Here is a 12,480-nt window from a genome sequence, read left to right on the forward strand (position 1 = left end):
CTCCTTAATCTTGATACGTTTCCATACCTAGTTGGGTCCAACATTGTACTTTTCCTTCTGTTTCATTGATTTTAGAATTCTTGTTTTCTGTTACTGCCACACTGCTTTAATTGTGGCTTCACGGAATGTTTCACTCTCTGGCCAGATTGGGCATCCTTCCATTACTCTTTCTTTAAGAATATTGCTTTAAACACGCACCTGTTTTCTTTAGTGGATGTTGATTTTCTCTCTCACATTCTGTACTGTAGCCTACCTCAGTGACTTCTAGACACCCCTTCTTCCCCTTCCCCAGCACACATACCGGTTTTCCCCCAACCTGGCTGCCCAGCCTTTGCTCACTCTGGACCCACTACCTCACAGGTATGTACCAACTGCTCTCACCTGGCCTATCTCCACCTTAGTGCTTTATCACCCCCCTCCAGGTGCCATTATGCAGATACCCATTTTCCCTATGGACCTGAGCTTCCCTGGGAATTGGTTCTAGGTCCCTAGTGCCCCTCTGCACCTGGCATATGGCCAGGTACATTGTAGGTGCTGAGGTCAGGGCTTGGGGAAGACAGGAATGTTCACCGTGCCCTTGGGCTTTTGACAGTAACTGGGCTAAATCTGGCTTCTTCTGGAGGTGCAGGCTTACAGGACTCAACAATTTGGTGGTTGTAACCCTGGACATGCTCTTGCCAATAACGGTGGGCCATCCATCAGCCCTGGCCTTGGTTTCCCCAGTGGGATTTGCAGAAGCCAGAGGATTAAAGCCCTCCCAGCCCTGAGGCCTCATTATTTATCTTAGTGGGTCCACAGTGAAGATGAATTAGAATAACTCATTGGCACATGCCATGCCTTGGAGTGCAGTTTTCTGTTTTCTGGGAGAGAAAAGGCCTCTTAGGACAGAGCCCCCCACTGCCCTCCTGGGTCTCCAGGAGACAGCCCAGATCTGGGTCAGAAGGGTTCAATAGTCAAGAACAGAGGGGTGGCTCTCTGCCTGGGAAGGCAACTGGGGTGAAAGCGGGGAGCTGGCCTTTCTCTGCATACTGCTAGGTAGCATGCAAAACCCTGCCTGTTCCATTCCTGTTCTCCAGGGGAGGAATCTGAGGACGAGAGGGGTAAGATCCCTGCCCACTGCCATGCAGCAGCTTAGTGCAGAGCCTGGACTTGAACCTAGATCTGCCTGCTTCCAGAGCTGTGCTGCACCAGTGTTCTCGCAGCTCCCAGTCCAAAGGCCGACGTTGAGACAGCGCTTAAAAATATATCAGCAGTGTTTACAAATACCATTTCCTGTGTTATCTGGTACTGACAGAAGGAAGTGAACCTGGCACTTTGTCTGTGTTAGGTTTGGGGTTAGAGGCATAAGTGCCAAGTTCAGATGACCTAGAAAAACCTTTCTAGGTCAAATTACAATTTCAAAGATTTCTTTTCTTCTTCTTTTTGAACCGCTCCAAGATCGAACGCTGTCGTTGACATATTTCCCTTCCGACAACACGAGCCTTTTGTGGCATGATTGAGGGCTTGTTTTGTAGTGCTGGGGAGAAAATATCTTCCACATCATCTGCTCATTGTCTCAGTCACACTCGTTCCCCCCACACCACAGTGCAACCCGACGTACGCTCATGCGGCTTTTAGTTAATTGCCTTTGGTAAGAATCAGTTTTGGGACTTGTTCCCAACTGCTTGGATGATAGATAATTGTCAAATACAAATATTGGCAGCGCAGGGCAACCTGAGGCTCTAGACTGCTGACTGCATCCCAGCCTCTAGGGAGAGCTGGGAGCTGGCCAGCTCCATGTTATGGGAGGTAACGGGGCAAGACCTGGCAGGAGTACAGCCTTCTCATTAGAGTGTAGGCTCTGGAGTTGAACTTCCTGGGTTTGAATCTTCATTCCACCCCTTCCTAGCTGTGTGGCCTTGGGCAAGCTACATAACCTCCCTCGACCTCAGTCTCCTTTTCTGTAAAATGGGAGCCTCAGTAACTTACCTTGTGAGGTTGTCGTGAGGATTATAGGAACGGATGTTTGTCATTCAATTAAGAGTGCCTGGCTTGTTGTTAGTGTGATGTAAACATTGCATGCATTCGTTCTAATGAGTAAATGATCATAGCCATTAGTGGATGCTCTTGCGTGTCACCCTAGTCCCTCCTCAGATCCAGGCACACATTCTGTCAGCTGCTTAGAGTGTTGGCTGCTGCCCCTATCAGCTGAGCCTCTCTCTGGGCAGCTCCATGGTGCCTTTGGTGGAAAGAGGAAGCCTTGGCCAAGGTCATCAACACTCACCCCCTGGGCATCCTGGATCCGATGGCCATCCCATGTGGGGATACAGAATGCTTAGCTCCCTGCCTCAAACTGGGACACCTCTGCTGGGCCATCCCAGTTCCAGAGCTCCCCTTGGGACAGGTGGAGGCCTCCGTTGTGACTACATCACAGTTTGGCTTGTCCCTCTGGCCTGTCCTGCTCCCCCACTTCCCTATAGCACTTCCCAGTACATTTCTTGTCTGTAGATTTCACACTCAGAGTCTGTTTGGTACCTGAAACAACAGGTAGCTATCCAGACGCTGAATGGAATCTGATTTCCATTTTAAAGCACATGCTGATTTCACTTGCTTGTATTTTTGGAAGCTTTTTGAGGAGTGGCCTTGGGTTCTCTACCACTCCTGTCTCCTACCCTGTGTGTGCACCTTTCGGGCACTGTCAGCATGCCTTGGTCACCTCCATGACTCCTGGTGGGAAGAATGTGGCCTAGCTCCTGGGCAGACCATAAAACTTAAGACTGATGGAACGGCCCAGGGGCTCAGAGGGCATCACCCATTCAACCCTTCCAGGTATGAATGAGGAAACTGAGGCCTAGAAAGGGGGAGGCCTTTTTCAAGGACACACAGTGAGTGGTGCCTGTCTTTTCCATCTTTGAAGGTGATGGTGTCTTGGGATATAGTGAGCAGGCTGGTCTTAGGAGCCAGACATGTGGCTGTTGTGATATTATGGCGCTAGGGTCCAATACATGTTTTACGGGGTGCCCCCATGGCAGAGGGGTGGCCAGGCCAGCCCAAGAGTGGCTATCAGCAATGGCTTCTGGAAGGAGGACAGCACAGGAGTTGAATGGGCATGAACGGTGTGGAAGAGAGAAAGCAGGGAGTTTCAGGTGGAGACACAGCTGCTGCAGAGGTCTGGATGAGGTGTGGGGGAGAGTGTGATCTGGGCAGGGGGCTTGGAAAGGCAGAAGAGGGGATGGGCGCGTGATGGGTGGGAGGCAGCCTGGACTGTTGGGCTGGCAGGCGGCAGATGCTCAAGTGAATGTTGTGGCCAAGAATTAAAACTTTTCCCCAGTGGAGGGGATGGGACTTGATGGAGAGTGACTTGGGGAGAGCCACGCAGAGGCCTTACCCATCATGGTCCCCACTGACCCTGCACTGCCTGAGCCAACTGATGCTCAGTCAATGGTTGTGGAATAAATGAGTGAACGAATGAGGGAAGGGAAGATGGTGCTGAAGAGGAGGCCTCCAGCTGCACTGTGGCGGGTGGGTGGGAGCAGGGACGAGCCCACAGGCTCTGATGAAACTGGCTTTTGGTTGGGGGTTTTATCCTTCTGAGCCAGACTGTGGGTCCCTACCTTCCCTCCTGTCACTGGAGAGGTCCATGGGCCTGGCTTCGATGAGACTCTGGGGACGTGGGGAGTGCCGGTGGGTGAGACCAGCCGAGAGCACGTACATTGGCATCCCCCACAGCAGAAGCCCAGAGAAAGGCCTCAAAGTCGCGAGCCCAATCAGATGAGGTCCTGGCCCTGCCCCTTGGATGGCCTCATCTCATTACACCTTGACCCACTTCCCAGCCCAGCTCCCTCCAGCCCCAGGCAGCGTCTGCAGCCCTCTTTGAACCATTCCCCCTCACAGCGCCAAATGAAAATGTTTGTTGAAAACAACATGTGCATAATTAAAGCTTAATGAGCGCTTGTCTGTTTGGAATGTGCAATTAGATTTACAATCGGGGATGGGAGAGAGCTCCAAATGGCTTTAAATGGAGCTGAGAGAGAGGATAATTTTTGCCATAAATCTGCAGTAATGCAGACGGTGTGTGAGCTACCAGTGGCAGTACCAGGGAAGGAAGAAATACAGGCCTGCCAGGCCTCCATGCTATCTATGTTAGGGGGCTGCCCTGCCCATCAGGCCCGGCCCTCTGGGCAGCTGCAGCTGGTGAGTGTACTGGGATGGGACTCACTGGTGGTCCTGGGGGCAGAGCTGCCCTAGGTTGGAGCTGGAGTTCCTGCCTGCAGCTTATGAGATCTGCGATCCAGCCAACTGTGAGGGGCTGAGGGGCTGGTGCTGAGTCCAGCTGCCCAGGTCCCCAGGATCCCATGGCTGGGGCGAGATTCCTGCGTCATCACCACGTTCACCCCCAGCCTGCAAACTGGCTTCAGGGCAGAGCCCTAGACTGGGATGTGGCCCTCTACTTTGTTCTCTGCTGTTTCCCAGTACCCAGAGCGTACATAGTTAAGGCCTCAGTTAACATTTGTTGGATGAATGAATGCCTCGTTACCAGACTCTTGCCTTCAACAGGTCACTCTCCCTCTGCAAACCCCATTTCTCCCATATCTATCACAGAGAAATGGATTCGGCTACTGCTGATGATGTCAGCTCTTCCGTCTCTGGGGTTCTGGGTCAGGAGCAGATAATGACTAGGGCAGTGTCTAGACCAGCACCATCCAGTAGAAATACAATGCAGGCCACATACATGATTTTAAGTTTTCTAATAGCCATGTTCAGAAAAAGTGAAAAGAAACAGGTGACATTAATTGTAATACTTTAGTTAACCCAGTATATCCCAAATATTAATATTATTCCAATACATCATCAATATACAAATATTGACAAGGTATTTTGCATTCCTTTTTGTTGTCATCGTCATCATTCTTGCTCTGAAGTCTTTGAGATTCAGTGTGGACTTTATACTTACCCACATCTCAGTTTGGACTAGGCACAATTCAAGTGCTCAGAAGCCACGTGTGGTAAGCGGCCACCATTCTAGATGGTAGAGGTCTAGAAAGAGCACAGTTAGAGCGAGGTAGGTGGGAGGGGGCAATGATTCCCACCTCCCAGAGGAGCCCAGGTACCTGGCAGCCCTCACCTGTGGTGCTATAGTGACCACTGCCATTTTTACACTACCCCTCGATGCCTTTTATTGACTGAAATAGGTGGCACCATCCAAGCCAACTCTTGTTGGGGGTGGGGACAAGGGTCCTGAAGGGGCCCACAGCACTGAGCTTGCTTACAAGGGACATTCCCAGCTCCTGCGGCAGGCAGTGCCCAAGGCGTTGTCCTTGCTTCTGATAGTTAAGGTCCCAGGCCTATAGTCATGAGGTCACCTTCTCTGGTTCACGTGGCTTGGAGGCAGTGGGGGTGGGAAGCCAGGATGTACTCTTAGGAGTCAGCAGCCTGGACTTCAGACTCAGCTCAGGCAGGTCTTGGCTGTGTGGCCTTAGGCAGATCCCCTAAACTTTCCGGGCCTCTGTGATGGGGAGGATTTATCACCAGGCAGAATACGAATGTGCGTTGTGCCCAGCAAAGCAGGCACACCAATCAGGAGAAAAACATTTTTGAAGAATTGTTAATATCTGATATTTTAGGAACAAAGCATGAAAATCATCGTTGTTGGGAAAAATCGGCCCTGGCAGTTGGACTTTCTTATAAAGACTTTAATTTGCAAATTTTATTTCAAATTACATACAGTGGGCACAGGCATCGAGGGTCTTTTCCATGATTAAGACCTCAGAGATTTGCACAAAGCCCCACTCAGTTTCTTCATCTACAGAAGAGAGGTAGTTATAGCAACTGGCAGGATTCTTAGGAGGATTCAATAATAAAATAAGAAATAGCTAACAATGATTGAGTGCCTTCTCTAGGTAGGCAATGTTCTAAGCACTTTCCGTATATTTATTTAATCCAAATGATAGTCATACCCATTTTGCAGATGAGAAAACTGAGACACAGTAATGTAGTTTAAAAAAAAAAAAAACCAACAGCTTGAAAGCAACAAGCCCAGGATTTGAACCCTGGCAGCCAGACCAGGGCCTGTGTTTGTATCCACTGTGCCATCATGTTTCTCCAAGTGGTGATGGACCTGGAGTTGGTGTACAGGGCCCGGGTCAGGCTGAGACTGAGGCTTCCCAGGCCGTGCTCTATTCCTGTTCCTCTTCCATCTGTGCCGGGCTCTCTGCCTGCACCCCTCCCCCGGCATCTTCCTGGCCCTGATGTGTATTTCCCCATGAGACTTCCACATAAAACCGCACTCTCGGCAGGACCTAGGTTGCAGCTGTCTCTCTCTTTAGAGCTGTGTTTTATCTGTGCAGAATGAGCGTTCTCACCGCCCAATGTGGGGCAGGCGGGAGCAGTGTGTGCTGCTTTGATTGTTTCCTCTTTAGATCTTGGTGAGGCTCAGCTCTCAGTGCCTGTGACTGGCTAGGCTGAGGGCTGTGCATCCCTAGGCTTTGATCTGTGTCTCTGTGCAGAGGGGAGGAGCAACAGCTTCTACAGAACAGCTGCTGCTTTGGTACCTGGGATCAAGGCCAAGTTCAGACTTCCTGGGTGGCTTTGGACAAGTTCCCAACCACTCTGAGCCTTACCTTGCTCATCTTGACAGTGGGGCTGCTGCTCATGGAAGCCTTGGGATTTCTAGGGGGTTCCAGTGAGATGGCTGGTCACAGCTCTGGGATAAGGGCTGGTATACAGTAGGTGCTCTTTGGCCAGTGCTCACAGCAGCCTTGGATGTCATATTCCCTGCTCCTTGCCTAGTCACCTCCTTTGCTTCCTACATCATGGAGCCTCCAAGTCACTTTTTCAGGATGCTTCTCTGGAAAGACCCTCTGCCTTGCTTCTGCTCCCCTTGGCTAACCTTATCCTGGCCTTTGTCACATGTGTCAAAGAAGAAGGCATCATTCAATATCGAAAGCAAGAAGCTGAATTCATTGGTATACTTCGCAAGGGTAGTCTCCCCAAATCAAGCAAGAGGCTGATCTTTTCAGGGTTTGGGGAAGCATGGGGTCCTGGGATAGGAGGACTTTCAGAGCAGGAGGTTCTGAGACTGGCTGGCTGTCTCCGTGGTGGACATGTGGCTATTGGGAGTAAGACTATTGATTGACTGACTTTCAGAGGTGGGGCTGTAAAGCTCCCAGTGACAAATGAGGATGAGCTTTAAGCTGGTTTGGGGATTCATTGTTTGCAGCTTGGGACTGTGGTCAAAGAACATCTTTTCCTTTGTAGATTTGGAGAATAGGAAGGTTTTATTCTCCCTCCATAGCTGTCATCTTCTCCAAAGGACTGGGGGTTCCTTGAAGGCAGGGGCCGTGTCATCATCATTCTGGCATGCCTGGCACCTAGCACACTCCCTGTCACATAGTAAGCACGCACAAGAGATCGTTCAATGAACAGTGATTGTTGCCTCCAAGTCCCTTTGCTTTTCTCTCTTTTCAGTGCCTTTGTGATGATCTATTTGCATAGATTTCCCAAGGGGCAGTGGCAAAATTCACTTGTAGATTCCCCAGTGGCTGGGAGCATATTCCTCAGCACGAGATATGTGCCTGGTACACGATACAACAAAGGCACTGCCTGGTCTCATTTCGCCTCAGCACATTTGAATGAGATCTTAGACCCAGGACCAAGAGTGGGAGCAAATGGGTAGAAGACATGGGAGGGACAGGGTCAAGGTGAAGAGGCTGACCTTGAACAGGAGAGAGATACCTTTTCAGACTAAAGGAAAGGAAGTCAAGATGAGCATGATGTAAATAACGTAGGGGAGGTTGGGAGAATTGAGGGAATATCTGATGGCTTCAATTCCTCAGTGACAGAGGAGACAATGTCATCTGCTAGACTGAGGGAGATGGGGGCTGATAAGGGGATAGGAGTTGATATATCATAACAATGATAATAGGTAACATTTATTAAGCACCTGTCAAAAATAGTTAATATCTGTAACATAATGCTTAATAATGCTAACTCATAGCTGATGTCTGATAACAGATACCAAGAACCTTATGAGGTAGGAATGTAGCTGTCATAATTGTTGTTTTATAGGTGAGGAAAGGAAGGCAAAGTGAAGTTAAAGTCACTGAGCTCGTAAGTAGTGGAACCAGTCGTCAGATCAATGCTGTTACCCAGTATGTTACACTGCACATAGGAGTTGAATTAAGTCCAAAGCTGATTTTAGATGGAAGCTTTTGGTTAGGTCCAAGAATATGGGTTTATAAAAGCAAGCAAGACAGTGTTAAGGTTGGAGTTTGTAGCCAGAAATAAAGAAGGGCCTAGGAAGAGGTAGATTTCGGTGGATAGAGAAAGGGAGAGTGTTCCAGGCTCATGGTGGGACGATGTGTAAGAGTGGGGGCACTTGCTGGGTGTGGTGGCTCATGCCTGTAATCCCAGCACTTTGGGAGGCCGAGGCAGGCAGGTCACTTGAGAGCAGGAGTTCGAGATCAGCCTGGTCAACGTGGTGAAACCCCGTCTCTAAAAATACAAATTTAGCCAGGCTTGGTGGTGCATGCCTGTAATCCCAGCTACTCAGGAGGCTGAGGCAGCAGAATCACTTGAACCTGGGAGGTGGAGGTTGCAGTGAACTGAGATCATGCCATTTCACTCCAGCCTGGGCGACAGAGCAAAACTCTGTCTCAAAAAAAAAAAAAAAAAGTGGGGGCACTGGAGGCTCCCACTATGCTGAGGACCCACGGGAACTGAGACTTGGGGCTGCCCTGGAGGGTCCTGGATATAGGCTAAGTGATGTGGAGTCTCTGCAGGGTTTGGATCTGAGGAGTGAAGCGATTGCCCAAATATCGCTAGTGATAGCCAAGGTGTACGATGGATTGTGTGACACGGACCCACCAACACCAACATGGGTTTGTGGTGCCTGTGTGTGCCCCTACGCTGTGCATACCACATGCACTGTATACCTTTGTGTTCACACTCAGCATACTCTTAGGGAAGCTCAGCAGAAGGATGTTGCAGGTGATTGGATCAGAGGGATGTAGATGGCAGGGAGACCAGAGTCACCCCAGGGGTACTGACTGTGGGACTGTGTGGAAGGTGACAGTTTCTGTTAAGACAGGGGAGTGCTGGAGAAACAGCAAGTCCATGTACATGTTATGAGTTCAGTGCTGGAGGTGTTGAATTTGAGGTGCTCATGGGCAAATGGGGGAGATAGGGAGAAAACTATATATTAGAATCTGGAGGTAATTTGGCTAAAGATGAGGATTTGAGAATTGGTGATGTTGCAACCGTGAGTAGCCATGACATTTTCCAGAGAAAGTGTGAATCGAGTGAGAAGGAAATGCCAGACCCACATTGCTATGCGCCTATCCATTCCACCCAACCACTCAACCCATTTTACCCACCCGGGAACCCACACGTCCAGGCATCTATCCACGCATCCCCAACACCCATCTCACCCATCCATGTTCATCTCGTCCACCATCCCAATACTCTTCCCATACACTTGTCTGTTCACACTCATGCAGCCATCCCTTTTCACCTATCCATTCATCCACTCCTCCCTCTCATCCCAGCCATCCCATCCATACATCCCAACCACCCATCTATTTGTCCATCCACCCATCTCATTAATAAACCATTCATTAATAATCATTTTATATTGATTACATGTTGAAATCATGTTATGAATATGTTGAGTTAAACTTAATTTTGATGATATATTTTATTTATCTGTTAATATTTTTAAACAGTGGCTACTACATTTAAAAATAATGAAAAGAGTATAATTGGATTGTCTGCAACACAAGGGATAAATGCTTGAGGGGATGGAAACCCATTCTCCATGATGTGATTATTACACTTTGCATGCCTGTGTTGGAACATCTCATGTACCCCATAAAAAAAACTGTGGCTACTAGAAAATGTAAAATTACATATGTGGGTCACATTTGTAACTTTTATTATATTTCTGTTGGACAGTGCTAATGTGTACAATCCCTCACCCATCTATTCATTCACCCGTCCGTCATCTGCCGATCATCCGTCTATCCATCACCCATCTATCAATCATCTATCCACCCATCCATTCGTCCACCCATCTGCCCATCCATCCATCCCATCCTTTACTCCTTCCTCCTTTCCATCCATTCATCTACCCACTTATCACATCTGTTTACCCCACAAATATTTTATTTATACCTGTCATGAATCAGTGACTCTGTGGTCATAAGAATGAGAAAACTGAGGCTTAAAGCAGTTAAGCAATTTGCCCAAGGTGGCACAGATGGACCTGGGATCTGACTGTCTAAGATCAGGGCTCCTCACCTTGGCTGCCTATTTGCTAAGTTTCCTTAAAAAATCCTTTGGGGAAGCATGGTGTGCTTAGGTTGGGGGCTGGCTGTTGGAATAGGGGCCGAGGAGCTCTTTTCCCTGAGGGGACCACACAGGGAAAGGAGAGGTAGGGGAGAGACAGATGCCTTAGAAGCCCCTGTAAGCTGTGTCCCCGGTGGCCGTCATGAAAGGGTTATCCCTACACATTCGATATTTGCAAAAATGTGGGTTCTTTCAGATTCCAAAACTCATTTCCATGACAAAACTCTTGGGAAGAGAAGATGAAGGCCTGGCTTTTGCAGAACAATCTTCCAGCTGTAATGAGGACTGAAGATGGCAATGGGAAAAGGAATTATAATTAGAATATGAAATGGGGAAAATTAATCTATTCCAGTCACTGGTAAGAGGATGTTCTCCTGGCGTTCATGGAAATTCTTAAGCTGTTGTTTCTCCCTGCATTTTTTTCTCACATTTTAAAGCATAGGGAAGGCTGTGTGGTATGAAAAAAAGATTTTTGACCAAGGAACTGATAAACTGTGAAATATGCATAGAATTGAAGTTCATGTGCATCTTTGCTTTGTATGTCTCTGTATGCACATTCAGTATATGTTTGTGTTCACATTTGTGTGAGTTACATTTAAATGGCTGCAGATGCATGGAATGTTTGTACACATATGGGCACACCCTGCTTTCCTTGTGTGCGTGCTGTGGTTATTGTGTGCCCAGTTGTATAAAGGTCTCTGACATGTGCACACTCATGCCTGTGCTGTGTGTGCGTTGGTTGGTGTTACCCATGGACATGATACATGAGTGAGCTGAACGCTGCCGTGTTGAACGCTGTGCTGCATGACCTGGGTCCACACAAACATGGGTTTGTGGTGTGTGTGTGTGCTGCCCATGCTGTGCACACGGTGTACATCATATACCTTTGTGTTCACACAGTGTATGCACTGCGGTGGGTGTAGATGTGGGTGTTTTTGATCTTGTCTGTGCACATGTGGAGGAGGAAGTAGCCCTGCTGTGTCTGAGGGCAGAGGTGACTTTGTGACCTCTCCCCTTGGCTTCCAAGTTCATTTAGCCAGAAAAGGTCCCAAATGAGGAGGGGGCTGCAGGGGTAAGCCCCAGGCCTTAGAGTACTGGAAGCCAAGCCAGAGGGAGCCTGGGAACCCTCAGTGTCCCCCAACTATTCCTTCATGCCCTCCAAGGGCTCCGATGTGGTGGAACCCTGGCAGAGGTGGGCAAAGAACAGGCCTCCCCGCCCACTCAGGGCCTCTGCTCACTGCTGCTCCGCAGCTGGTTCTGAGCCCAGCAGGCTCCAGGGCACTGTGCAAGGTGCCCAAGGGTAACTGAACTGAGGAGACTCAGGCCCTGCCTCGGGAACCTCTGCCAGCTTCTCAAGTGCCCCTTGAAAGCCAGAAGCAAGCTTTACTACAGCACGTGGCAGCTCTTTCCTAGACATTGGTTGAATAAAGGAGTGAATGAATAAGACAGGCTCTGGTGACCTCATGGGAATCCACTGCCCACCCCCTTGCCTGCCCCTAACACACTCGTGTCGGAGACCAGGCCCCCTTGCCCTACATCTCCAGTACCATTCCCACTGCTCTCTGTGGATAATTCCTCCCTCTCCTGAACCTCTAACACACTTATCAAGCACCTGTTATGCGCCAGGCCCAAGGCAGACTATTGATTATATAGTAGGCTCTAGAAAAGCATTGGTCCCTGCTGTGAATGCACTTGCAGCTAGTGGGAGAGTCCAAGCAGAAAAAATCCAACAAGGGACTCTTAAATCCCATCTCTCCCCAGCTGTGTGATCTTGGACAACTGCTTATCCTCTCTCTATCTGTTTGCTTGGTTTTAGCAGGGAAAAGAATATTTTCTTCATTGGATCATCGTGAGGATTAAATGAGGTCTTTTATGTAAAGCATTTTGCTCAGTACCAGGAATATTCATTCTGTCACCAAATATTTATTGATTGTCTACTGTGCTTATCGGGGAATGAAGCAGATGTTGGCCCCTGCCTTGCAGTGGCTCTGTTCTCACCAGCATTTAATAAATGGTGACCATTCAAAGGTTTTTTGGACATCTTTCCCTCTGTTTCTCATGCATATTCCTATACCATACTGTTCGATTACTATTGCTTTATAAAATGTTTCAAACACTTCATTAAACTTAATGTTCCTCCATCTCCAATTATTCTTC

At 48.7% G+C, this 12,480-nt stretch overlaps 1 protein-coding gene across 12 annotated transcripts in view, besides 3 other annotated features; it reads left to right on the plus strand.

The window, feature by feature from the left end:
* TOX2 (TOX high mobility group box family member 2) overlaps positions 1-12,480 on the plus strand; it is a 154,765-nt gene that overhangs the window by 43,267 nt on the left and 99,018 nt on the right. The window lies entirely within an intron of this gene.
* Positions 1,151-1,445: an enhancer, noted in NCBI's record as "tiled region #6747; HepG2 Activating DNase unmatched - State 4:PromP". NCBI's record gives its function as "activates a minimal TATA promoter and a strong SV40 promoter by Sharpr-MPRA in HepG2 cells {active_cell/tissue: HepG2}" and the evidence as "EXISTENCE:reporter gene assay evidence [ECO:0000049][PMID:27701403]".
* Positions 1,151-1,445: a silencer, noted in NCBI's record as "tiled region #6747; K562 Repressive DNase unmatched - State 8:EnhW". NCBI's record gives its function as "represses a minimal TATA promoter and a strong SV40 promoter by Sharpr-MPRA in K562 cells {active_cell/tissue: K562}" and the evidence as "EXISTENCE:reporter gene assay evidence [ECO:0000049][PMID:27701403]".
* Positions 6,106-6,185: an enhancer, noted in NCBI's record as "active region_17920". NCBI's record gives its function as "activates an Ori minimal core promoter by ATAC-STARR-seq in GM12878 lymphoblastoid cells {active_cell/tissue: GM12878}" and the evidence as "EXISTENCE:reporter gene assay evidence [ECO:0000049][PMID:35858748]".

Source organism: Homo sapiens, chromosome 20 (assembly GCF_000001405.40).
Source record: "Homo sapiens chromosome 20, GRCh38.p14 Primary Assembly".
NCBI classification, from domain to species: Eukaryota; Metazoa; Chordata; class Mammalia; order Primates; family Hominidae; genus Homo; species Homo sapiens.